At 40.7% G+C, this 26,897-nt stretch overlaps 1 protein-coding gene, 1 long non-coding RNA gene and 3 other non-coding genes across 10 annotated transcripts in view, besides 2 other annotated features; 2 read left to right on the top strand and 3 right to left on the bottom strand.

The window, feature by feature from the left end:
• Positions 1-26,897, top strand: part of SCAND3 (SCAN domain containing 3) — a 45,668-nt gene that overhangs the window by 4,440 nt on the left and 14,331 nt on the right. Inside the window, exons 2-5 of one of the 6 annotated variants that reach the window (XM_047418157.1) lie at positions 17,516-17,551; positions 21,222-22,403; positions 23,644-23,807; positions 24,167-25,465. The exons of 1 other annotated variant lie outside the window; for it this stretch is intronic. In XM_047418157.1, coding sequence (XP_047274113.1) covers positions 25,046-25,465 — 420 coding nt within the window. In that variant the 5' untranslated portion in view covers positions 17,516-17,551; positions 21,222-22,403; positions 23,644-23,807; positions 24,167-25,045. Of the gene's footprint in view, positions 1-17,515; positions 17,552-21,221; positions 22,404-23,643; positions 23,808-24,166; positions 25,466-26,897 lie in introns of those variants that run through there. 4 more of the 6 variants (XM_047418158.1, NM_001329616.2, XM_047418156.1 and 1 more) reach the window with 4 other exon arrangements.
• Positions 4,536-4,607, bottom strand: TRA-AGC3-1 (tRNA-Ala (anticodon AGC) 3-1). Its single transcript has one exon. It is a non-coding gene; the product is annotated as a tRNA-Ala (tRNA).
• On the top strand, positions 14,342-14,423 carry TRS-GCT4-1 (tRNA-Ser (anticodon GCT) 4-1). The gene has a single exon. It is a non-coding gene; the product is annotated as a tRNA-Ser (tRNA).
• On the bottom strand, positions 20,014-24,385 carry ZBED9-AS1 (ZBED9 antisense RNA 1). The gene is made up of 2 exons (NR_186619.1): positions 24,031-24,385; positions 20,014-22,534 (listed from the first exon to the last, which is right to left on the bottom strand). It is a non-coding gene; the product is annotated as a ZBED9 antisense RNA 1 (long non-coding RNA).
• Positions 21,798-22,477: an enhancer, noted in NCBI's record as "OCT4-NANOG-H3K4me1 hESC enhancer chr6:28557063-28557742 (GRCh37/hg19 assembly coordinates)". NCBI's record gives its function as "activates a minimal SCP1, AML or CMV promoter by ChIP-STARR-seq in naive H9 embryonic stem cells {active_cell/tissue: H9 hESC(naive)}" and the evidence as "EXISTENCE:reporter gene assay evidence [ECO:0000049][PMID:30033119]".
• On the bottom strand, positions 22,313-22,384 carry TRQ-TTG2-1 (tRNA-Gln (anticodon TTG) 2-1). The gene has a single exon. It is a non-coding gene; the product is annotated as a tRNA-Gln (tRNA).
• Positions 23,969-24,845: an enhancer, noted in NCBI's record as "H3K27ac hESC enhancer chr6:28554695-28555571 (GRCh37/hg19 assembly coordinates)". NCBI's record gives its function as "activates a minimal SCP1, AML or CMV promoter by ChIP-STARR-seq in naive H9 embryonic stem cells {active_cell/tissue: H9 hESC(naive)}" and the evidence as "EXISTENCE:reporter gene assay evidence [ECO:0000049][PMID:30033119]".

Here is a 26,897-nt window from a genome sequence, read left to right as displayed (position 1 = left end):
TTAAAAGTAGATACTAAAGTAACACCTTTCACCAAAATTGTCTAGGAGTGGTTGTATTTGGGAATGGAATTGTTAAACTTGAGGTTTTGGAGAGTACACTGACTTTTCACTGGGTAGTGGCAAGTTGTGGGGAAGAAGTATGTAGAGGGAAGAGTTCTGTGCAGGTGAGTTAGATTAGTTCAGATGGTCTAACCATTGTTCTATATGTGCATTTTAGTTAATATTGTTGTATATTAAAATGCAAGTCCTTTTGCTCAAAGTGTGTTGGAAGTAGAGGTAGTAAAACAATCCATTTATATCCTTTTGTTAGTTTTTAGGAAGGCCTGTCTTCCAGGAGTGACCTTTGTTAATCCACCTCTTGGAGCTGGACATAGCCACCTGGACGGTGGAAGAGGGAAAAGAGGAAAGTTGAAGGGAAGGGCTCTTTGCTAGTATCTCCATTATCTAGAACATGGTTTTAGATGATAACCATAGGTCTATATGAGCACTTTACTTTTCAGTAAACATCTTTAGAAAAGATGTATCTTGGACATGGAATTGTGAAACCACCACTGGGTAGTGTATACCAGGACTTGTTCATCAGGTTAGCAGTAGAGAGGCAGAAGGAAGTATAAAGGGAGAGATGAATGCAGATGTGTCCATATTTCCATTTTGACGATAGCCATTGGTGTATGTGCATCTCTTTTGGCTGTACTATAGGAATACATGAAGTAATTAAAAGGAAACATATCTTCTTGCTAATATTTTAATGGTATAGATCTGTTAATGAATTCTCTTAGAAATATTATACTTAGTGTATTCAGTTGCTTTATGTTTTATTTTAAATTGAGCACTAAGGGAATGCAGTATTTTAATCAGAACTCTGCTAATGCTTTTATCTAGAGGCATGTCTCCATTTTTGCCTTCTATAAAATTTTTGTCCCAAAAAAAGCAAGATTACATTGTTTTTCTAACAGACTGAGTTGGTGCTGTATATTCTTGGTTATCAGAATACTCATATAGCTTTGCAATTCTGAATTGGTAAATATTTATGATGTGTAAAAAAGCATAATATATACTATATACTGTAGAATCTCAATCCCATATAACTGGATGTTATGTCTACACACACAGGACCTAGAAGGACACATCAAAGTATAAACTACTTGTGATTGTGGATGACTTTGTTCTTTGTTTCTTGTGTTTTACTTTTTTCTCCTTCCTTCCTTCCTTCCCTCCATCTCTCTCTCTTTCTTTCTTTTTTCAGAGTTTTGTTCTTATTGCCCAGGCTGGAGTGCAGTGGTGCGATCTCGGCTCACTGCAACCTCCACCTCCCAGGTTCAAGCAATTCTCCTGCCTCAGCCTCCTGAGTAGCTGGGATTACAGGCACACGCCACCACACCCAGCTAATTTGTTGTATTTTTAGTAGAGACGGAGTTTCATCATGTTGGCCAGGCTGGTCTCGAACTCCTGACCTCAGGTGATCCACCCACCTCTGCCTCCCAAAGTGCAGGGATTACAGGCGTGAGCCACCATGCTTGGCCTCTTGTGTTTTTTAATTTACTATAATGCACATATTACCTGTTTAAAAAAATTAAGGTTATTTTAAAAACCTGGGGGGAAAAAAGCCTTACTGGCTTTAAGCCATTCTTGTACCTCAGCCTCCTGAGTAGTTGGGATTACAGGCGCCTGCCACCATGCCCGGCTAATTTTTGTATTTTTAGTAAAGACGGCGTTGCACCCTGTTGCTAGGCTGGTCTCGAACTCCCAAACTCAAGTGATCAGCCCACCTCACCTCCCAAAGCACTGGGATTCCAGGCATGTGCCAACTTGCCTGGACTCCATGCCATTTATTTCTTGAAGGTCAGTTTGTCCAGGAGAATTTTCCACATTCTGGATTTAGCTGATTGCATCATTATAATGTTATTAAACACATTGCTGTATCTCCAATATTTACTCTAAACAAATGGTTTTTATCTATTTGATTATAGAAATTTAATTTTCAACACAAGTATTTATTGTGGTCCTGGGTATGTTCTACTTTACTTTATTATGGGTTACATGATATGTGGTTGTCTCACATTTGATGATATAAAATTTAGCTTTGGTTTTAGGTGACATCAGCCTAATCCAACCATTCTAGAGTCCTTCATCCAATTTCACCTCATGGTTATAGCAGCCATTGCCAATTGTGACCTGGATGTGTTATAGCAATACCAGTTGCAAAATGTTGTAGTTTTATAATCTCTCCTGCATTCATTAGCTGTTATTTCCTGAGAAGAAAAATCTTTCCCTCATCAACTATATGTTTATCCTGAAATACATTCCATACAGGAGAGATAGGATAAATGCTTGATTCTTTTCCTTCATGTGTTAGCTTTCAAAATAAAACTGATATTCAAAAACCTCCAAAGGTTGAATATGGAAAAGCTATTTTGTGTGTGTGTATGAGTGTATATGTTTATGTTAACTTTGCAACCAGCTTCTTTACCAAATTCTCTATAGTAAGTTTTTCATTTGAGGGGTGGCTTCCAGATATATAATCCTACCAAGATACATAGATAGCTTTATCCCATTCTATCCAATAGTTAATCCTTTAATTACTTTTTCATGTCTAAATGCTTCAGCTAATACCTCCATTACAATGTTAAGTAGTAGTGAAGATAATGAATATCCTTGTCTTGTCATGAAAAACAATTTAAATGTATTTGATCCCAAAATACCATAAATAGACTTAAATGGGAATACATACCATGAACAGCGCCCTCCCCCCAACCCCCGCTTTTTTTTCAGACAGTGTTTCGCTCTGTTTTCCGAGGCTGGAGTGCAGTGGCACAATCACAGCTCACTGCAGTCTTAACCTCCTGGGCTCAAGCGATTCTCCTGCCTCAGCCTCCCAAGTAGCTAGCTGGGAATACAGGCATGCACCACCATGCCCTGCTAATTTAAAAGAGACATCATCTCTCTATGTTGCCCAGGCTGGTCTAGAACTCCTGGGCTCAAGCAATTCTCCTGCCTCAGCTTTTCAAATTTCTGGGATTACAGGTGTAAGCCACCATGCCCAGCCTCATAAACATCTATTAACATTATATATTATACAGAATAATTTATCAGAATAAAACATAATTTCTAGAAATCAGTAAGTTAAAAAGGGAAAAACTGGTTTCTTTCCTCTCATATTATGTATTTAATCAATATTTCATACTAGCTCTGGCGTAGGCAAATCACCTTTGATTTGGATTGATTAACATGTGTAGGTGTCGTGGGATACTTTTTTGTGTTGGGGCAGTGGAGGTGGTCATCTAGTTAAATGTGTTTGTAAAATGAGTTCAACATGTGTTGGGGACCAGCCTCAACACCACCCGTAGGGTACCCAAAGTCCGGTGGCGACAAAGGATTGAGAAGAGACAAGAGTAAAGGTGGGGAGCCAGGGGGTCAGTTGCAAAATGGAGGCTGCAAAAGGCTCAGACCTCTGGTCTCCACACTATTTATAGAATACAATAACTTAGATCTAAGAAGCAGATGTTCAGGGCGAAACAGTGAAAAGGTGGCAGTGCGTCATAGCCGTTATCTATAGCAATAGCGGTTTAAATGAATCTCCTTTGTGCTCAAATAGCATATCTTTAACTTATCGGAGAGTAGCTAGTGGGAGCGGGCTTAACTTGGAGTCTGTCCACATTCCAGTATTTCAAAGGAGTGTCTTTCTCCTTGAACGCAGTGTTTACAGATAAGAGAGCGGGTCTCGCTCTGAGCATGGGAACATGATGGCAATTAGGAGGCTTTCCTCCTCAGAGGACTCTTGTGGCTTTCCACAACATATTGTCTCATATTTTTATGGCCAGTTTATGCAGGCACCCCACAAGCCCTTTTCCCAAAAACATGTCATTTATTTTTACTGAAATTTTCTTGAACAAGAGATATTTGGATGCCTGGTCTCTCACACTCCCACTAAGCTATTTCAGCAAAAGGACAGTAGTTCTGGTTTCATTTAACCAGCCAATCCATTCTGTCTCATTCGGGTTAGACTTGGGAGGCACCCCATGCTATGACAGACAGCATTTTATTGTCCTTCATGTACCTATCACCGCACAATACTAACGGGGCCCACTGCTTCCATATCTGGTGATTCAAGAAAAGGTAAGGTATAGGGTGGTTGGAAGCTCAGAAGAAAGACATCAATAAGATATGTTTCTGCTATTCCACCTCCATGCTGTTCTTTGCTCTAAGAACTCTTCAGAATTCAAAAAAGAAAAGAAAAAAAAAACAGTGAATAAAACAAAGGGTCTTTTATTATTTTTATATTTTTTCTGTTTTTCAGTAATACCATAGCATGAAATCCAAAGAAACCAGGCTGATTAATTTGCGAAAATGCTTTTACAAAGGGTTCAAGACCTTCCTGGTGTGGCAATGCTATCGATACAGATACTTAACACTGCAAAGGCTGTACAGACAAGCAGAAAATTGAATGAATGAGACTAGGTTTATTTAACGGGAGGGAGAAAGGAAAGTGGAAAGGCGGTCCATTGAGAGGAGAAAGTGCGCACTCCCAAAACTGGTGGAGGTGCCGGGGATTGAACCCGGGACCTCGTACATGCTAAGCACGCGCTCTACCACTGAGCTACACCCCCAACCACAGACAGGTTGCTTTGCATTTCTTTCATGATTTATAATCAGTATTTCTCAAAGATTCGGTAAATTGCAATGAAATCATGAATGCAAACTCCGCAATTTGTGAAACAGCTAGGCTGGGTCCTGCACAAGCAGCGTCCAAAGAAAGCAACACAGTGAAATTACAAAGGAAGGAGCCTGAAAGCAGACAATCTGTTGTCTCTCGCTTTTTCCAGCTTCATTTCCTGCTGTTTTCAACCATAAGGCCCCAGGAGGCCAAAGCCAGTAGCGCAGCCAGGGTACCAGCTGAGACCTACGTGTTTGAAGGGAAACTGTAGGGGGGCGTCAAAGGGGATCCTCGCCTACCGAGTTCCAGTCCCCGGGCCCAGCACCGCCTTTCTTGGAACAAAGACCCTCAAATCACTTCCGTTTCCAAAAGCCCAAAACGTCCACTGAACACTTAGTGGTGATGGCAGGGAACGTTCTTGTGAGCTCAAGATGTCATGAATCAATCACAAGGACAAACTGGAAATCTGGACCCGGGTGAGAGGCATCACGTAGGCACCCAGATCCGCACGTCTAGAGTAGTTTACCTCCGACAAAACTCTGAGGGTCCCCTGCTAAGCCAAACTGGTGGGGGTTGGGGTGGGGTAGTAGCGTTATCTGAAAAAAAGATGAATTAGGTAAGGCAGGGCTGGCATCTGTTGCTTGGCGACCAATCTGTAGGAAACCATGGAGCAATGAAAAATTATTGGTTTCTCGAATGGTGAGGGGAGGTGGGGGAAGCTTCTCATATTTTAAAGAGCTGGCCCAGCCCAACCCAAATTCACAACTATTGACTTCTGAGGCACCTCCGTTGAAATCTCTCCCTCTCTCTTTCTCAAACAATTTATAACTCACTAAAAAGTTGAAAAAATAAAAATAATACAAAAATACCCTTCTATCCTTTACTCAGATTTAGATATTATTAATATTTTACCCCATTTGCCTTATGAGTTGCTTCTTCTCTCTCCTGTACGTTGCATACATCACGTCCATTTCCTTTACTTAAGTACTTTTCTATATACCCACAGTACTATTAGGAACTTTTGTAAATTTAACATTGATACAATAGCTGTATTTAATCTACAGTCTGCATTTCAAGTTGACCAATTGACCTGATGTTTTCCTCTCATATAGGATCTAGTCTAGGGTCAGGCGTTGCATTTAGTTGTCCTGTCTTTTTTAGTCTTCTTTAATGAAAAATATTTGCATAGTCTTTATTTTTTTTGACATTGATATGTCATTTAAAAAATAGTGTTATTTTCATTTCTTTCTTTCTTTCTTTTTCTGAGACAGAGTCTCGCCCTGTTGCCCAGCTGGAGTGCAATGGCGCGATCTCGGCTCACTGCAACCTCCGCCTCCCGGGTTCAAATGATTCTCTTGCCTCAGCCTCCTGAGTAGCTGGGATTACAGGTGCCTGCCACTATGCCTGGCTAATTTTTTTTTTTTTTTTTTGTATTTTTTAGTAGAGGCGGGGTTTCACCATGTTGGCCAGGCTGTTCTCGAACTCCTGACCTCGTGATCCGCCCGCCTCAGCCTCCCAAAGTGCTGGGATTACAGGCATGAGCCACTGCTCCCGGCCTCATTTCATTTTTAAAAATAGAATGTCTTTCACTGACTGATACTTTCGCATGACTAGGCTCAGGATATACGTTCTCCATTGGAATACTAAATAGATAATCTTGCGTGCTTATATATTTTTCAGTCATTGGTCTGTACTTTTTTGTTCTTGCTTTAAAAAAATCTTCCCAACAAAGTCTCTGGATAGTACACTTTTTGTGACATTTCTGGTCTCACAAAGGATTAAGGAATTCTTTAGAGGTCACTCAAAACAAAAATAAATGAATATTTTCTGGGCGCTAAAGTGACTTAGAAACACCTGGAGCCCAGGTCAGGGTAGTGAGCAGTCAAAGCCATAGCTGTGAGAACTCTGCCTAAAGTTCCTGGGAGTTGGAACAGTTGGGAGCAAGAACTGCTGGAAGCCAACTTGGACCAACAGAGGAGTGGGTTTAACCTGAAGTCAGATACCAATCGAAAAACAACTGTGAGGATGAATATTTAATATCAGAAAAGCAGAGAGTTGGAGGAGCTGAGCCTGACACTCTTGTTATGGGCCAAAACCTATAGTGAGACCAAGTGGTTCAGGGTCAAATTTGTCACCTAGCTCCTGGCAGAAGTAGAAATATATCCTCTCTGAAAGAAAACTTCCCCGAGTTAGGCCTGCAGAACTCTCTTATGTTAAGATCACACAATAAGGTTAATAATAAAGATTACTACAAACCTAAGAAGGTAAATTACTATGCTTGAGACTCAACAGATACAAAAAGTCATACTGAAACCTAAAGAACTGTAGATGTTAAATTTTAAGGTACAAAATGTATAATAGCTATGTCTGACATATATCAATAAATTAAGGATATGATTACAAATGAAGTATGCAAAAGAGTGAGTAAAATTATGTAAAAATTTAGATTCAAGAAATAAATATGTAATAGTTAAATTTTTTTTTTTTTTTTTTGAGACAGAGTCTCGCTCGGTCAGCCACGCTGGAGTGCAGTGGCATGATCTCGACTCGCTGCAACCTCTGCGTCCCGGGCTCAAGCAATTCTCCTGCCTCAGCCTCCCGAATAGCTGGGATTACAGGGGTGTGCCACCACGCCCAGCTAATTTTTGTATTTTTAATAGAGACGGGTTTCACCTTGTTGGCCAGGCTGGTCTTGAACTCCTGACCTTAGGTAATCCACCCGCCTCAGCCTCCCAAAGTACTGAGATTATAGGCGTGAGCCACAGTGCCTGGCCAAAAAAAAATTCCTAATTTTTTTGCATATTAGCTACAGCTGGGGAAGGAATTCCTAAGCTGAAAGATAAAGCCAAAACCTTAACCCAGAATACAACAAAAATAGTTAAGAACATGGAACATGTGAAGCAAGCTGAGATAGATAAACACAACTGCGAATTCTTTGCATCTCCTCCCATCAGAAGGTGGGGCCAAATCTTTTTCCCCTAACCCTGGAATGTGGGCTGCCTTTGTGATCTGCTTTGACCATTGGAACACAGTGGCAGTGATGCTGTGCTACTTCTAAGTGCAGGTCTCAAGAAAGCTTGCAGCTTCAGTTCTCAACATCTTGGAACACTATCACTGTATAAGAAATCTGGGCAGTCCTGTTGGGGAGATCACATGAAGGAAAACTGATGAACTCCAGAAAATAGCCCTTGCCAAGTATCAGACATCCAGGCATTAAGGGCATCCAGGAGCAGCGAGTCCCAGCTGACCTGCCAACTCACATTGAATTTGTAAATCCAGCTGATTTTACAAGGAGATGAGATGATACATTTCAGCTGAGTTCTATGTTGTTTTAAGCCACCGAGTTTGGAGTACTTTATTACACAGCCACAGAATACTGATTTAAAAAATAATAATAATAGAAATGGAAGATTATGTGAAAATTCTGAAGTATATACGATTAGAGTTCAGGAATAAAAGAAGAGAAAAAAAATGTAAGTGAGGTAATATTTAGATATAATATACCTGGAAAATTTCCCAAATTGGAGAGAAAATTTTCCCTTAGAGAGTCAGAAAGCAAATGTGTCACAAGCACGTTAAAGAGAAACAACTATAACTACACACCTCATACTGAAACTGTGTTATAACAAACATAAGAGGATGTCTCAAATCAGCCAGAGAGAATGTATAGATTTCTGCAAAGAAAGAACAATTAGAATGTTAACAAGCATCTTCATGATAAAATCCAGGAAACAATAAGATATATTTTGGAAGTGTTGAAATAAAACAATTGCCAATCTAGACTTGTGTACCCATCAAAGTAAACTTTAAGAATGAGAAAGTGTTTAAAATTTTATTTAAAAATTTATTTTGGGCGGGCACGGTGGCTCACGCCTGTAATCCCAGCACTTTGGGAGGTTGAGGCGGGCAGATCACGAGGTCAGGAGACCACCCTGGCTAACACGGTGAAACCCCGTCTCTACTAAAAATACAAAAAAAATTTAGCTGGACGTGGTGGGGGCACCTGTAGTCCCAGCTACTCGGGAGGCTGAGGCAGGAGAATGGCTTGAATCCGGGAGGCGGAGTTTGCAGTGAGCCGAGATCGCGCCACTGCACTCCAGCCTGGGCGACAGAGTGAGACTCCCTCTCAAAAAAAAAAAAAAAAAAAAAAAATTTTTTTTTGGTGGCTATAAATGGGTAAATCCCAAAGTAGCAGCAATACAGAGTATTTAACAATATTTTAATATTTTCTTTTACTCAACAGTCCACCTTTGTGATTTGCTTTCCATAAATACACTAGATTAAAGCAACAATACTCCAAGTTCAATCTGAGTTTATTGAATACTTTATTTCCATTCAGAGTTTAGTAATTACATTATTCTGTCACCAACAATAATCAAATGGCCTACCTAAGTAGCAAAAATCATAAAGCTATTATAAGCCAAGTCAATGGAATTTATAAAGTTAATATAAAACAGTAACTAGACTAATACACATATGAATTGGGCCCTACTAGAAACATGCCAAAATCATAAGCTTTATTTAAAGAATGAGGTATTGGGGCAGAGAAGAAAGAGAGGTCATTATCATCAAAAATTATTAGGAAGATTTAGGCAAAAAGAGGCTGGGCACTGTGGCTCACGCCTGTAATCCCAGCACTTTGGGAGGCTGAGGCGGGCAAATCACCTGAACTCAGGAGTTTGAGACCAGCCTGGCCAACCTAGTGAAACCCTGTCTCTACTAAAAACACAAAACTAGGTGGGTGTAGTGGTGAGCACCTGTAGTCCCAGTTACTCAGGAGGCTAAGGCAGGAGAATCACTTGACCCGGGAGGCCAAGGTTTCAGTGAGCTGAGATCATGCCACTGCACTCCAGCCTGGGTGACAGAGCAAGATTCCGTGTCAAAAACAAAACAAAACATCACTATTTAAGTGTCATGAATTATCATCATCATATGTGAGAAAAGATAACCCATCAGAAAAAATAAATAAAAATAAAATAAATTAAAAAATAAACCAAAGGACCTATACAGATCAAACTTTCAGTGAGTCTTTCTTTCTTCTTCACAGGCATTATCTGCACTATCAGCATAGCCATAGTTCCCATAGCTGCCAGAAGGTACTCCTTCACTCAGGCCTGCATGCTTCATTATGTCAGAAGAGAGAGGGAAATGGAGGGCATAGAGGGGTGGGTGGGTAGGAAAGAGCTAGGGGTTACCCAGATCATGTCTTCAGCACCAGGGTCCCACAGAACAACAACTTTCCCTCCCTCAAACACCTCAACATCGGTGGAGCCTTAAGAGTGAGAATTCTGCCTGGGCGCAGTGATCCATGCCTGCAATTCCATCACTTTGGGAGGCCGAGGTGGGCGGAAGTTCAGGAGTTCAAGACCAGCCTGACCAACATGGCAAAACCCCATCTCTACTAAAAATACACACACAAACATTAGCCAGGTGTGGTGGTGCATGCCTGTAGTCCCAGCAACTTGGGAGACTGAGGTGAGAGGATCATTTGAGCCTGAGAGGCGGAGGCTGCAGTGAACTGAGATCACACCACTGCAGTTCAGCCTCGGCGACAGAGCAAGACCCTGTCCCCCTTCTCCCCTCAAAACAAGAGTGAGAGTAATTTTGAATATCATTGACAAAAACAGGTAGTTGACAGCTAACGCTTGCATCGAAAAAAGCTCTTCTAGTTTTGTTTATTAAAGCTTTCAAACTTACATAAAGTTAGAGAGAATGGTGTAATGACTTTCCATGCACATATCAACCAGGTTCAACAAAAATTAGCATTTACCATTCTTATTTCATTCATCTCTCCTTTTCTCCACTGAAGTATTTTAAGCTACTTCTAAGCATTATGTAATTTGATGTTTAAATACTTCAGTATATGTCTAAGAGAAAAGAACATTTTAAAAAATGGGCACATGTGGCCGGGCGCCGTGGCTCATGCCTGTAATCCCAGCACATTGGGAGGCTGAGGTGGGCGGATCAGGAGGTCAGGAGATCGAGACCATCCTGGCTAACACGGTGAAACCCCATGTCTACTAAAAATACGAAAAGAAATTAGCTGGGCGTGGTGGCGGGCGCCTGTAGTCCCAGCTACTCCGGAGGCTGAGGCAGGAGAATGGCGTGAACCCTGGGAGATGGAGCTTGCGGTGAGCCGAGATCGCGCCACTGCACTCCAGCCTGGACGACAGAGTGAGACTCTGTCTCAAAAAAAAAAAAAAAAAAAAGGCACATGTTGTCAGGACCTCCTGAGGCTGTGTCACAGAAAACAAAAAGAACGAACAAACAAAACCATAATTTTAATAACTTTATCACTTCTAAAATATTTAACTAAAATTCTTAATATTATCTAATACCTAGTCCGTGTTCAATTTTTCCAGTTATGCAAAAAATTTTTTATGGGTGAGTTGTTCGATTTATGATCCAAAGTAAGTTCATATATTATTTCTGGGTGATAAATTTCTTAAAACTCTGTTTACTTTTTTACATTTTACTTTTTTGAGACAGAGTCTCACTTTGTCACCCAGGCTGGAGTACAGTGGTGCAATCTCAGCTCACTGCAATCTCCTGGGCTCAAACAGGCCTCTCACCTCAGCCTCCCAAGTAGCTGCGACTACAGTCACGCACCACCATGCCCGCCTAATTTTTGTATTTTTAGTAGTGATGGGGGTTTGCCATGTTGGCCAGGCTGGTCTCGAACTCCTGGCCTCAAGTAGTCCGCCTGCCTTAGCCTCCCAAAGTTCTAGGATTACAGGCATGAGCCACCACTCCCCACCTGCTGTTTTGACTTTTAATTCCCTAGTGACGTATGATGTTGAGAATCTATAAATAAGCTTAGCCGCCACCTTCTTTAGTGAAGTGTCCAGATCTTTTGCCTACATTTTAACTGGGTCGTTTGTTTTCTTGTTAAATTTTTGAGAGTTCTTTGTACATCTTCTTTTCATTCCCTTAACGGTGTATTTCACAGAGAAGTTTTTAATTTTAATAAAATCCAACTTATTTTTTTTTCCAGATGTTTTGCTTTTGGTGTTGTTTTTATAAACTAATTGCCAAAGCCAACGCTACCTAGATTTTCTCCTATGTTATTTGCTAGAAATTCTATAGTTTTGTGTTTTACATTTAGGTGTATAATCAATTTTGGGTTAATTTTTATGAAAGTGCTAAGGTCAGTGTCTAAAGTCTTTTTTTTTTTAACATATGGATCTCCAATTGTTTTATTAAAATTTGTTAAAAAATCATGCTTTTCTCCACTGAACTGCCTTTGCTCTCTTGTCAAAGGTAAGTTTACTATGGGTCTATTTTGTAATTCTCACTTCTTCCCATTGATTTATTTTTCTATTATTTTGACAACTGTATTAGTCTATTTTCACACTGCTGTTAAAGACACACCCAAGACTGGGCAATTTACAAAAGAAAGAGGTTTACTGGACTTACAGTTCCATGTAGCTGGGGAGGCCTCACAATCATGGCAGAAGGTGAAAGACATGTCTCACATGGTGGCAGACAAGAGAAGAGTTTGTGCAGGGAAACTCCCCTTTTTAAAACCATCATATCTCATGAGACTTATTCACTATCATGAGAACAGCATGGAGAAGATCTGCCCCATGATTCAATTACCTCCCACAAGCTCCCTTTCAAAACACATGGAAATTCAAGACGAGATTTGAGCGGGGACACACCCAAACCATATCACACCACCACCACACTGTCCTGATTACTATAACTTTGACATTGGGTAATGTTAGTTTTTCAGCATAGTTCTTTTGCATGTTGTTGGCTATTCTGAATCTTTTGCCTTTCCATATAAATTTCGAGTTCGTTTGTTTTTTCTACAACTAAGTATCTCACTGGGGTTTTCATTAGGATTGTGTTGAATCTATAGACCAAATGGAAAGAACTGATGTCTTGACAATATTGAGTTTTTCTATCCATGAACATGGAATATCTCTCCATTTATTTGGATTCTCTTTGATTGCTTCAGTCAGAGTTTTGTAGCTTTCCTCACATAGATCTTGTACATAACTGGTTAGATTTATATCTCAGTATCCTTTTTCTTTTTTGTTTTCTCTTCTGTTTCTTTCTTCTTTTCTTTTTTTGGTGCTAATATAAATAGTGTTGCTTTCTTAATTTCAAATTCCAAATGAGTATTGCTAGTATGTAGAAAAGGAATTGACTTTTATGTAGTAACCTTGTGTCTTGCAACCTTGCTATAATTACTTTTTTTCTTTTTTCTTTTTTTTTTTTTTTTTTGAGACATAGTCTCACTCTGTCACCCAGGCTGGAGTGCAGTGGTGTGATCTCAGCTCACTGCAACTTCCACTTCCTGAGTTCAAGCGATTTTCGTGCCTCAGTCTCATGAGTAGCTGGGATTACAAGTGCGCGCCGCCGCACTCAGCTAATTTTATTTTATTTTATTTTATTTTATTTTATTTTATTTTATTTTTAGTAGAAACAGGGTTTCACAATGTTGGCCAGGCTGGTCTCGAACTCCTGACCTCAAGTGATACACCCACCTCGGACCGGAAAATCATAACAACTGTCCTCATTCAAATAAATAACTACAATTGTTTGAATCATTAAATAAACAAATCTTTAGTCCTCTAACCCAGGTCAGTTTTCCATGCTGGGTAGTTGTATGGTGAGGATGGATATATGAAATTTGGTAAAGGAACATGATGGGGAGAGAAGACAGTCCCTTCTGCCTAAAGAGAAGTAAAGATTTCAAAGGAAGGACAAACAATACAAAACAAAACAAAAACAAAAACACCCCAGCATTTGGGCAAGAAATAATCTCTCCAATATTTTCCACCAAATATAGAAAAGCCGAGAAGCTCTAGTGAGTAGATGGGTTCCTTGGTGCTGGGTTTATTTGAAATTGCCAAAGTCCGCTTCTTCCTGGATAGATAAAAATTATGGGATGGAGTTGGTTAAGTGGCCCGCCCAGGTCACACGGTGAGTGGGACAGAACCCCGACCCAAGCTAGCTGGCTCCTGCTCTAGGAAGGATTGCCCCACCCGACCCTGTAAGTGTTGGTGGCAGCCAGGCTAAATCATCTTACGCAGTAACATTCCAAACTACTCTAGAACGAAAATGCTCACATCGGGGAGTCTTTCTACCTTTTTTCCAACCCCGTTTTGACCCATTGCTGCATATCTCAGCAATGCAATAATTCCAAACCCCAGATAAAGAACTAGAGAGAAATGAAAGCGTCTCTTTGCTGTCCGGCATATTTCAGAAGCAAAAATGTATAAGGAATCACAGAGCCGGTTTATTGTTCGTTGTAGTTTGTTTGCTAATTTCTGGCACCTCCCAGAAAACAGGAATCTCTGGAGATGTTCTCATCAGGAGAAGGAATAATCCGGTCCCTCCAAAGGGAGAACACAGAGGAGCTAGCTGGAGCCAGGTCAGCAAACCAGGGTTCAAATCCTATGTCCCATGCATTCCAGTGTTCAGCAAGGATCTACGTATTTAATACCTAGGCGTACTGTTTTTATCTGTTCGTTTGATATGTGCCAAGTAACTGAACCACTCTAGGTGTCATTTATCACTTTTGTGGTTGCTGCGAAATGTACCTAAAAATACCCGATTCTGGGTGTGGTTGTAAGGACTGAATCAGGATTAAGCCAGAAAAAGAGCGATTAAAAATATATTATTACAGGACTAACTGTGCGGAGGAAGAAAATGACTTTGCCACGCTTAGCATGTGACGAGGTGGCCGAGTGGTTAAGGCGATGGACTGCTAATCCATTGTGCTCTGCACGCGTGGGTTCGAATCCCATCCTCGTCGTTTCTGGAGGTTTTTATTTAACCCTCTGAAAGGATGGGTCTGAGTGCTGCCTAGTTAGCGTTTATCTTTGGTAGATTAATTTGCCAAGAAACCAAGTAAATTACTAAATGTATCTTAACTGGCCTCTGCTAATTTTCAGTTCTGAGTACAAGATTCTCTCAAATCTCAGGGACAATTCTTCCTCAGCAACATTGATCATACTTGTAAGTTAAATTAGCCAGTTGAAACATTTGGGTAGTGTTTACTTTTCCCTCCAGATGGTAACCTTCTTAAGGGCAAGAAATATATGTGTTCTCCATTGAGTTTCCAGCTCTTCTGAAGGAGCAACTGAATAATTAATTGAGGGCTATAGAAAAATATTGTCAATAAACTTAAAGTAAATGATAAAAATCATCCACATAAATATGTACAACAAGTTATTGATACTATATTTTGCAGGTATTTTCAGCCTAATTTTAACCTTACTGAAATTTTTACTCTTTGCTAACTTTAAACTGCCCTCCCCCAACAAAATACTTAACCATTATTGTCTGCTGGTCTCTAGCTTTGAGGAGGATTTGTCTCTGCTTAGAGATGTGACAAAGCTGAAAAATATACTCCATACGACATTCCCAGTTATGTCTAAAGATGCCTCCATAAGCAAGACAGAGAGGAATGTCCATATTGAATAGTTTCTACTTGTGATTTCCATCGTGGGCCTTGGGAGAAAAAAATATATATTTTTTATTTTATTTATTTTATTTAAGTTTTTGAATAGGCACTGCATTCACATGATTCCAAAATTATAAAGCTATATAAAATCTTGCACCCATCCATAATTATTCCCCAACCACCTAATTACATTCTTTACTGATAACCACTGTTGTTAATTCTTTCCAGGATTACACTAAGCACATATGAATATATATTACATAACATATATATTTCTATTTTTATCTCAAAAAAAGCACAAATGACAACATACTATGAATATCATTCCTTATCCTGCCCCATTTCCCTAACCAATATATCCTGGAGAGCTTTCTGTATCATCACAAAAAGTGAAAGCTTATTCTTTTTTAAGGATGCATTGTATCCCAATGCATACTTTACCATATATTATTTAACCAGTTCTCTGTTGGACAATTTGGGTTTTCTGTATCTTTTGCTATTATAAACTATGCTGCACAAATAACTTTATATATACATACATAAAATTTTGAATGTGTATATCTGTAATACTGCAATATAAATTTTTAAAAGTGAGTTTGCTGTGTCTTAGGATATACTCATTTAAAATATTTATAGATATTGCCAAATGGCCCTCCAAAAGGATTTTATTAGTTTACACTCTTAACCAGTAATGACTAAAATTCTTGTTCCTCTCACCCTCCTCTGGACTGTTACATCAGAATGACCCAAAGTGTGTGTTATGAATGAAGAATTCTGGGCCTCGATCATGATCTATTGCATTATAACCTCAGTGGCGGGGCAGTGGGGGATGGGATGTTCTTGAATCTGTGATTTAATAAAGTATTCAGATGTTTCCTATGTTGGTCTTAAGGCTTGTACATGGCTGAAGTATCTACATGTTATATCCATTCATCTAGAATTTTCTTTTTCTTTCTTTTTTTTTTTGAGACGGAGTTTCGCTCTTGTTGCCCAGGCTGGAGTGCAATTGTGTGATCTCAGCTCACTGCAGCCTCCACCTCCTGGGTTCATGCGATCCTCCTGCCTCAGCCTCCCGAGTAGTGGGGACTACAGGCACGTGCCACCAAGCCCAGCTAATTTTTGTATTTTTAGTAGAGACGGGGTCTCGCCATGTTGGCCTGGCTGGTCTGAATTCCTGACCTCAGGTGATCTGCCCGTTTCGGCCTCCCAAAGTGCTGGGATTACAGGCGTGAGCCACTGCACCTGGCCTAGAATTTTCTTTATTTCTGTAAATGTTTGCCTCAGGAAAGCTGCTTTCTTCTTCCTCCTCGTCCTCTTCTTCTTCTTCTTCTTCTTTTTTTTTTTTTTTTTTTTTTTTTGAGACTGGGTTTTGCTCTAACACCGAGGCTGAAGTGCAGTGGCTGATCCTCCACCTCCCAGACTCAAGCAATCCTCCCAACTCAGCCTCCTTAGTGGCTGGGACTGCTTTTTTTTTTTTTTTTTTTTTTTTTTTTGGTAGTGACGGGGTTCCACCATGTTGCCCAATCTGGTCTCGAACTCCTAGGTTTGACCTGACCCTCTCAGCCTCTCAAAATGCTGGGATTGCAGGCGTGGGATTACCGCTTCTGGCCAGTTTCTATCTTCGATGTTCCCAGGTACACATTTCATAACTTGGACAGGTTTTCTTTTTTAATTTAATTTCACTTTTTAAATTATTGTCGATAGCCACCCTACTGTGCAATAGATCTCAAAACATTCCTCTTGTCTATCTGAAACTTTGTACTACTTTGACTAACAACTCTATTCCTTCCCCAACTCCCACCCCATCCTGTAACATCTGGTAACCATTATTCTAATCTCTCTATTTCTACGAGTTCAACTTTTTTTTTAGATTCCACATATAAGTGAGATCATGAAGTATTTTTCTTTTTGGGTCTGGCTATTTCTCTTAGCATAATGTCCTCCAGGTTCATCCTCATTGTGAAAAATGACAGAATTTCTTTCTTTTTAAAGTCTGAATAGTATTTCATTGTATATATAGCACATTTTCTTTCTCTTTGGAGTTTTGCTCTTGTCACCCAGGCTGGAGTGCAATGGCACCATCTCAGCTCACTGCAACGTCCACCTCCCAGGTTCAAGCGATTCTTCTGCCTCAGCCTCCCAAATAGCTGGGATTACAAGCATGTGCCATCATGCCCAGTTAATTTTTGCATTTTTAGTAGAAACGGGGTTTCACCCCATTGGCCAGGCTGGTCTCAAACTACTGATCTCAGGTGATCCACCCGCCTCGGCCTCCCAAAATGCTGGGATTACAGGCTTGAGCCACTGTTCCTGGCCTAGCACATTTTCTTTATATATCCATCTGATGATGGACACTTAGGTTGATTCCATGTCTTGGCTATTAACTGCAATGAACATGAGAGTACAGACATTTCTTTGATATATTGATTTCAATTCCTTAGGATATATTCCTAGACGTGGGACTGCTGGATCATAAGGTAATTTTATTTTTAGTTTTTGAAATATCTATATACTATTTTCCATAATGGTTGTACTACTTTACATTTTCACCAACAATGTACAAAAGCTGTCTGTTCTCCATGGCCTTGTCAACGCTTGTTACCATCTTTCATCTTTTTGATAAAACCCGGCTTTTATAAAAAAGATTTTGTCAAAAAGGTGAAAGATTGTTACGGGTGTGGTGGGTCACGTCTGTAATCCCAGCACCTTGGGAGGCCGAGGTGGAAGGATCGCTTGAGCCCAGGAGTTCGAACCCAAGTGTTTGAGAGCAGCCTGGCTAACATAAGGAGACCACCATCTCTACAAAATAAATAAAGATCAGCGGGGAATGGTGGCGCATGCCTGCGGTCTCAGCTAATTGGGAAGCCGAGGCAAGGGGATCACTTGAGCCCAGGAGGTTGAGGCTGAGTGAGCCGTAATCTTGCCACTTCACTCCAGCCTGGGCGACAGAGCCAGGCTCGGTCTCAAAACAAAAAGCAAAACAAAGCCAAAAAAAGAAGTTTTTGTTTTTTTTGAGACGAAGTCTCGTTCTTGTCCCCTAGGCTGGAGTGCAATGGCGAGATCTCGGCTCACTGCAATCTCCGCCTCCCGGTTTCAAGCGATTTTCCTGCCTCAGCCTCCTGAGTAGCTGGGATTAGAGGTGCGTACCACCATGCCCGGCTAATTTTTGTATTTTTAATAGAGACGGGGTTTCACCATGGTGGCCAGGCTGGTCTTGAACTCCTGACCTCAGGTGATCCGCCCGCCTCAGCCTCCCGAAGTGCTGGGATTAGAGGCGTGAGCCACCGCGCCCAGCAAAAAAAAAAAAAACTCATTCTAATGGTTGTGAAGTGATACTGTGGCTTTAATTTTCATTTCCTCCATGCTTAGTGATGCTGAGCATCTTTTTTTTATATGTATTGCCATTTGTATATCTTCTTTTGAGAAATGTCTGTTCAGGTCCTTTGCCTATTTTGTAATCAGGTTGATTGTTTTCTTGCTATTTAGTTGTTTGAATTCCTTATATATTGTGCATATTAACCCTTTATTAGATATAAGGTTTGCAAATGTTTTCCCATTCTGTGGTTTGCCTCTTCACTTTGTTTCCTTTGCAGTGCAGAAACTTGTTAGTTTGATGCAATCCCATCTGTCTGCTTTAGCTTCTGTTGCTTGTGCTTTGGAGTCAAAAAAAAAAAAAAATCATTGCCCAGACAATGTCATGGAGCTTTTCCCTTATTTATTAATTTTTTCAGTATATAGGTTTATAGCTTCCAGTCTTGTATTTTAATCCATTTTGAGTTGATTTTTATATATGGTGTAAGATAGAAGTCTAATTTTATTCTTCTTCATGTGGATAACCAGTTTTCCCATCACCATTTATTAAAGAAGCTGTCCTTTTGTGTGTTCTTGGCACCTTTGTCAAAAATCAATCGACAATAAATACATGGGTTTATTTCTGGGCTTTCTATTCTCTTTCAAAGGTCAGTATGTCTGTTTCTATGCCAGTACCATGCCTTATTACAATCACTTTATAATAGATATAAATAGTGAATGTGATGCTTCCAGCTTTGTTCATTTTGCTCAAGATTTTTTTGTCTATTTGAGGTCTTTTGTGGTTCCATACAAATTTAAGAATTGTTTTTTCTATTCATGTAAAATATGACATTGGAGTTTTGACAAGGATTGCATTGAATCTGTAGATAGCTTTGGGTAGTGTAGACATTTTAACGATATTAATTCTTTCATGAACATGGAATATTTTCCATTTATTTGTGTTTTTGTCATTTTATCAGAGTTTTATAGTTTTCAGTGTACAGGTCTTTCATCTCTTTTGTTAAATTTATACCCAAGTATTTTATTTTGTTTTTGTTGCTATTGTAAATGGGATTGTTTTCTTAATTTCCTTTTCAGATAGTTCATCATTATATAGAAATGCTACTGATTGTTTAATGTTGATTTTGTATCCTGCAACTTTACTGAATTTATCAGTTCTAACTTTTCTGTAACATCTTTAGGATTTCTATTTGCTGATCATGTCATCAGCAAATGGAGTTAATTTCAATTCCTTTCCTATTAGGATGACTTTTATGTCTTTCTCTTATCTAATTGCTCTGGCTCTATAAAACTAATCTTTTGAGAGTTTTTATGATGAAAGGGTGTTGAATTTTGTCAAATACTTTTTCCGTATCTATGGATATAATCACATGGTTTTTATCCTTCATTTTTGTTAATGTGGTGTAACACATTTTTTGATATGGACAGATTTTAAAGTCTGTTTTAATTTCCTCAGGAAATCAGCTACCATTAATTTGCTTGGTCCTCTATTCTGAACACATCTTCTCTCGGCAGCTGATCATATTCTCAATCCTTAGCTGGATATCTTCTTTGGAAAAGAAGTTTTCCCAGGATATGCCTATACATCTTTGATGAAACTGTCAAAGAAAAAATGTACCAGATGGAGTTAAATAGGCAAGGAAGACTTTATTCCAGACAATTGCAATAGGGGAGAGAAATTAAATAAACTCAGATCCAAATACATCAGGGACAGCTGGGGATCTATAGCTAATAGTAAGGGTAAGACAACCATTTGATAGAAAGTGACTACGAGGAACTTGATTAGATATCAAGGGTGGAAAAAGAGAAACTTGATAGGATTTTGAGGTGAGGAATTCTTACTGAATTGGCTTAGCAAGATTCTTGCTAAAACTAGGCTCAACTGGATTATTTGCTGAAATTGGGCTGGACAAGCCAAGGATGGGACCTAGTTGAGAGGAGGGCTCAGAGGAACCTAACTAAAGTTTGTTCAAGGGTGGAGTTTTTATAAATACCCACGGGAATTTCCTCAGCTTCCTAAAGGAATTGGTAGACCCACAGAACATGTAAGGCATCAGGGGGAGCATCTACATATGCTCCCAGCCTCTCCCAGTGTTGGTGGCTGCTTCCGCCTCCTCATAGCAGCTGCTCCTTGGCCTTCTGTTCAGTTCTGGGTCACGTTGTGCAGGCACCATCTCCAATCAGGTCTTGTCCATTACCTTAATTTAGAGGCTTGGGATAAAGTCTGAGTTACTGGTTTGAGCTAGGATAAGTGGATGCTTGACGATGGATGTGATCATAATGATTACTTACAGTAACACAGGCAGGCTATGGTGTTGGTCGGAAGGATGGCTGGACTTATAAGCATCCCAAACAGGCAGAAGAGGCTGTTAGGCCATTAGGAAAAGGGAGAACACTTTGGGTGAGATCTCATCACGCTAACATCAACAAAGTGGAAAGAAGGTGGGGCCACACTAGCTAAGGCAACACCACAAGAAAATGTTATTTCCCTCTGCAATTAGCACCATTACAGACCATATGAAGTACAATCAAGCACACATAACGGGAGCCAAAATAATGCTTTCATGAATTTTGTAAACTTAGTTACAGAGTCTCTGTGTAACCAATGGTAATTCAAAATATGAGCTAATGAATTATTAATGGTTTAATGGACTTGGTGAAAGTAGGATTCGATTTGGTTTTTTGGTATGTATGCGAAAATCAAAATGTCAAAGTAAGAAATCTGAAAATAAATAATTGGATTTAAAGGTTGTCTCTTACATCATAGAAGAGATTAATTTGTACGAAACACAAATACTTGTTTCTAATTTAGTTCTTGTCCTCTCTGTCCTCTAGGGCACACCTTTCCCTCACCTTGACACCTCACATTTCCCACCTCATTCTAACAGCTAAATTAGTGTCTATAAGGAATTTTCCAGACCTTCCGGGTTTCATCAACTCTATCTCCAATTCAATCCTCGTCTACACACACAGTTCAGGGGAGGCAAGATAGCGGCTACATTTTCTGTTCTTGACCTTCAGCTCCAAGGGACTGTTTCCCGGATGCTTCGGACCGAGTGTTTGGTAGTGTCTGGGGAGGACTCGGTCAGGGAGCCCCCTCCTTTCACCCTGGTACTAGGAGCTGAAGAGGCGAGATGCCAGGCGAACGGCTGAAGGCAGAGGTCTTTTTACCCCCATCTCCCTTGTCTCCCACACAAGTTGTAGGGCCCCTCCACCGTGTCTGGTCCTGAATTGGGAATGCCAGCTCCCAGCGCGGCGAGGCCCAGGTCCGGTCCTAGGTGAGTTTTTCTCTCCGGCTGGAAGACTCGACGCCGTGGATACCAGGGACCCGAGCCCTCCGGGGCTGCTGGCTTTGGAGGGATTTCCAGACGTTGCAGTCGGGGTGAGCGGAGAGACTAAGAAGTACAGGGGACTAGAGAAAGCAGATGAGGGTGAATTGTCTCATCAAGATGGGGGATAGGGAAAAGGGGCGAGAAGTAACCCGGGGCGCAAGGTCCACAGCGAAAAAAAAAAAAAAAAACAAACAAAAAAACAAACAAAAGAAACACGCCCGAGACCAAGGCTCAGCCACTTTACACGCAGGACTTGGTTGTGGCAGCGAGGAGGGCTTCGAACCTAGGAAATTTTGAGGAAGCGTTTGTCTCCATCACAGGAATTGGGTTTCCACGTTGCTGCTGGAGCTTTTCGTAAGTCGATAAGAGCAGCATCTTTCTCTTTGTCTCCAAACCCGTGAATTTGATACGCTTTGAAAGCGTTCTTCTAGGCGAAAGAGCTTGGTACTTTCATGCTTGGATAGAAGGGGAGAGTTCAATACCGTGCACGCGACCACAAAGTTGTTTTCGACGAGAATTCGATGGGAAGCGGAGGAACGAATTTTTCCCACATTCAGAGGCCAAGCCAGGAACTGTAAAACGTTCACCTTTGAAAGGTCCCACCGAGATTCGAACTCGGATTGCTGGATTCAAAGTCCAGAGTGCTAACCATTACACCATGGGACCAACCACAAGGGTACAGTAGGTAAGTATAGTCGTGGTTAAATACCTCCTTGATAATAAACTTTCTAGTTCCGATCCGAAAGAGTTAGGTCAGGCTTCAGTGAGACTCACGCTGACAGGAAAGCTGACGCTTTGCTGCTGAAGAAGGAGTAACTGTCAAAATAAAATTCAGGGAGATCTCTTCACTCTTTCCTGCGCTTTTGTTGGGAGCATAAATTAGCTTCCAGAAATCAACCGGGGCAGATTTGTGAGGTCTGAAACTTAACAATTTAGAAAGTCCTCTTTAAGAAAAAGAACAGCTGTTATCAACATAAAATTATGGGTACTCTAAGGCCTGTATGATGTATCTGAGGATAAGCTGGAGTAGGGAGAGGAAGCTGTCTTAACTAATTTTCACTATACTAGCATACTTTTGCAAATCTTACAAAATATGTTTCATACAGAGCAACCTCTTCCCAAGGCCTTGGAAAGCACAGCGCAAGGAAAGGATCTTAACACACTTTAGCGAGACTCACGATAAACATCCCTCTGGGGTGCAGATCTTTTAGCAATATCTATCAAAATAGTCTCTTCTACAGCCACTAAAAAGAATGGGATAGACATGTAACACATGTTGGCTTGGCAGTTTCTGGGGGAGGATTTAAGTTTAAAACAAACCAAAAAAGCCCAGTAACTTGGTGAATTGTAGTCTAGTATGATTTAAGTTTTGCAAATTATAATGAGTTATAATTGTGACTCAGTTATATTTGTACATAATAATATTGTACTCAATTTTGTATGTACATTTTAAAAATAGGTTGGAGGTACATACAACAAACTCGGCATCAATTTTTCTGAGGAATGGAACTGAGGATGAAGAAACTTCACTTCTTGCCACGTTGACTTTTTAAATATTTGACTTTTTTTATAAGTGTCTATCACTGTTGTAGTAATTAACAAATGCAAATCTACAAAACAAAACAAACAAAACAGTAAGGCTCGTCAGTAAAGGACTTAGAAGTCATGCTTACTCCATGTTAACTGCCTACTGTGCTCAGCATGGCAGAGATCACTGCCTTGCAGAATGAGAAAAAGGTAGTAGAATCCCTGATTGCAAAGGATAGTTAGGGGGGGAAACAAAAGATAAGTTCAGCACGTTAAAAGTGACTGGGAAAATGATCTTTTCAGGGTTGGATGACACAGGCACACAGACAAAAATTTTATACAGAATTTTACTCAAGACCATTCACGGACTCTAAGCGTAAGATTTCTTTTTTATTTAGAGATTTCTAAAAGAGATGTTCTGATTATTCAAAGACTCTCTACTCAGAAATGCCAAAATGTGAGAAATCAACATGAGGACCACAGCAGAAGGAAACAGAGAATGGAGAAGGGAACCAGGCAGCAATTCAACAAATATTCCTTGGGCATCTCTGCGCTACCAGAGGTATGGAGGAACCCAGTGACTGCTTGAAAAGAATGTTCTGGTTACTCCACTCCAGTGATTCGCTAGGCGCTGATCAGCCGTCCAGATTTTGTTAGATTTCTGGGACCAGTTTCCCACAGTTGTTTAGTCACGGCTCTGTGCTCCGTGACTAAACAACTGAGGCTCATTCTCGGTGGTCTTGGTTTTCTAATCCGTAAAATGGAAACAATGGACTAACTCTTACATTTCTTTTTAAGTCTGATTTAGGGTGAAAGGGAAAGGTGAAAGTGGCCCGAAATTAACGAGGAAAGGCGGGGGACGATCCTACAGATTCGCTGACGTGGTAGTCCTTAGGGATGCTCCTCTCCATTTTGTTTCAGGTCGCTGCGGTGAGCACCACGGGTCTGAGTGCCAGCGATGGTTTATCACGGTGACAGGAAAACACAGACCAGCAGCATCTACTCCAGCACTACTCACACTGTGGAACTCTTTTCACCGTGATGCCAGATAACTAGGTAATTCCGGAGTTAATTCTCCGTCGTTTCCAGAGTACTTGCCTCCCCAGAATTACTGGTACCGTAGGTGTTTGCACAACCAGTGAGAAGACGGCACCACCTGGAATCCTAGAGCGGACCGGAAGTGAGCGTGGCTCACCGGGCCCGGCCGGAACCTACGGGCACAGCTGCGGGTGTGTCTGCGGAACCTCCACCTGAGCTGTAGAGTGTTTCCCTCGACCCACTAGTCTGGGTTCCACAGGGTCTGAGCTCCTCAGAGGTGGGAGCTGCGGCCGAGGGAAGGGTGCATGTGCGCGGCGACAATCGGGCCTCTTCCCCAGGCAGCTTGTGAGCCCCTCTCCCTCTCCGCCCTCGCCCAGGCTGCTCCGATCTTCGTTTCCTTGCCTAGGCTCATACACCCAGGCTTTATTTAGGGCCAAAGTATCCGTCATAACCTCGGTTTTCTGTCTCGCAAGTATCTTGCCGCTCAATTTGTGACCCTGAAGCTTTAGTGAGTCGCTCTGTGCTCACTATTTCTGGTCTTTTCAGAGGATGGCTTCACTTTCAATGGAATTGCCCGAGTAACTGCCCTGTGTTGTCACGTAAACAAGTCCTTTTAAACTGAGTCTGTAGTTGTCCTGTGTTGAGTGTTTTCTTATATCAAAAACTTTCCTGACCAAGAACAAAAAAGGAGCTCAAGTAAAATCACCCATTTGCCTAGACCCCAACTGGAGAGAACCTTTGCCTGAGCTGTCTAAGCTCGGGATGGAAGCAGTCTCTAGGGTCTTCCCAGCCTTGGCTGGCCAGGCTCCAGAAGAACAAGGGGAGATTATCAAAGTAAAGGTTAAAGAAGAAGACCACACTTGGGATCAGGAATCAGCCCTACGTAGGAATTTGTCTTATACCAGGGAACTCTCTCGTCAGCGCTTCAGGCAGTTCTGCTATCAGGAGACACCTGGGCCCAGGGAGGCTCTGAGTCAACTGCGGGAACTTTGCCGTCAGTGGCTGAACCCAGAGATACATACCAAGGAGCAGATCCTGGAATTGTTGGTGCTGGAGCAGTTCCTGACCATCCTGCCTGAGGAGCTCCAGTCTTGGGTGCGGGAGCATAATCCTGAGAGTGGAGAAGAGGTGGTGACTTTGCTGGAAGATTTGGAGAGGGAGCTTGATGAACCTAGACAGCAGGTGAGAAATTGGAGGTGCCATCTTCTGTGGAGAATTTGGGTGCATGGATCCAGAATGGAGTAATGGGAGTAATTTCGCGCTGGTGGTTGGAAACCCTGGTTTGGGGCATTATTTCTTATTTGATCACTGGTGTAGATGAATAGATGCGTGCATATGAGATAACAGTTTTTGTGTATGATACAAATAATTAAATGATTTAACCAAATGGAAAAGCTTGATCTATTTTTTACCAGTAGAAAATATATTTTATGTAGTGACTATGAGATTAAAGAAATATACAATAGTAAATTTTTTTTAAAAAATTACTGTCTTTTGAAGCTATCTAGGCTCTGTTACTAATTAGCTGTGTAACCTTGGGCATATTACACCTTCTCTGGGACATTAATGTCTTCATCTGTACAATGAAAATACTAATTGCATGATTTCCTTGGTTCTTTTCAGTATCTAGAGTTGGTATGTAAAATGTTTTGAGCTCAAAATTATTTTTAGAAGAATTTTAAAAGCTTTTTGCCATTACAGTGGAGTTGTTTCTAAAGGAGTATATTTGCCTTCTTTGACAGTAATTTTAGAACATTGTGGATATTGCCAGACATTCTTATATTTTTTAGTGATACTATTCATACATTTATCTGAACTCTTTCAGAATGTGAACCCTTTATGTATACAGTCTGATCTGTTAAAAACGCATGTTTCTGGAATGCAAAATCTTTTAAAATGAGGTCAGTATGCCAGAAATGAGTCAGTATAATGCTGAAATTGTGTAAGCTCATGTATGAGTTTTCCCAGCAAGTTGATGTTTGGGGCCACCAGGTGGGAGTAGCTGAATTCAGAGTATCTGATGTAGCTGAGCACAGCAAGTCCTGAATACATACAGTACTGTACATAATTCCCATTTGCCCCCACATCCTTCCTCTGGCTGTCTTGGAAGCACTTATTTACATTGTTCCCTCCCATCTTTGTGTATTTTTTGCTAAAGTTTTTTGTATTCCAGAAAAGGAGCAAGCAGAGGGTTTTGCAAGTGCCATAGAAGTGTGCTTGTGATAAAATTTCTGCTAGTGAGTATAAAAGAAGAAAAGCTTTAACAATTGAAGACAAGTTTGAAACTATACAGTGTTTTGAAAGAAAAGAAACTGTGAGATTGGTCATGCAACTGGCATAAAGGAGTAAATGTATGTACAATTAGAGACAATGATGGGAAAAATAAAATTATCTAGCTGGAACAACTGCCAGTGTTATGAAATCTGTTGGAACAAGGAATAAGGAAATGGAGGAAATGGAGCATTTGTTAAGTGTGTGGATTGAATACCAAACAAGGAAGCAATCCAATGCAGTCTTTCTCAGAGTTAAAGAAAATACCTTCACAATGTATGGAGACATTAAGAAAAAAAGATGGAAGTCCCGCAGAAGTGCCTTCATTTAGTGGAAGTAGTGG

The sequence above is a fragment of the Homo sapiens genome, chromosome 6 (assembly GCF_000001405.40).
Source record: "Homo sapiens chromosome 6, GRCh38.p14 Primary Assembly".
Taxonomy (NCBI): Eukaryota; Metazoa; Chordata; class Mammalia; order Primates; family Hominidae; genus Homo; species Homo sapiens.
This window is presented reverse-complemented; position numbering and strand designations above follow the sequence as displayed.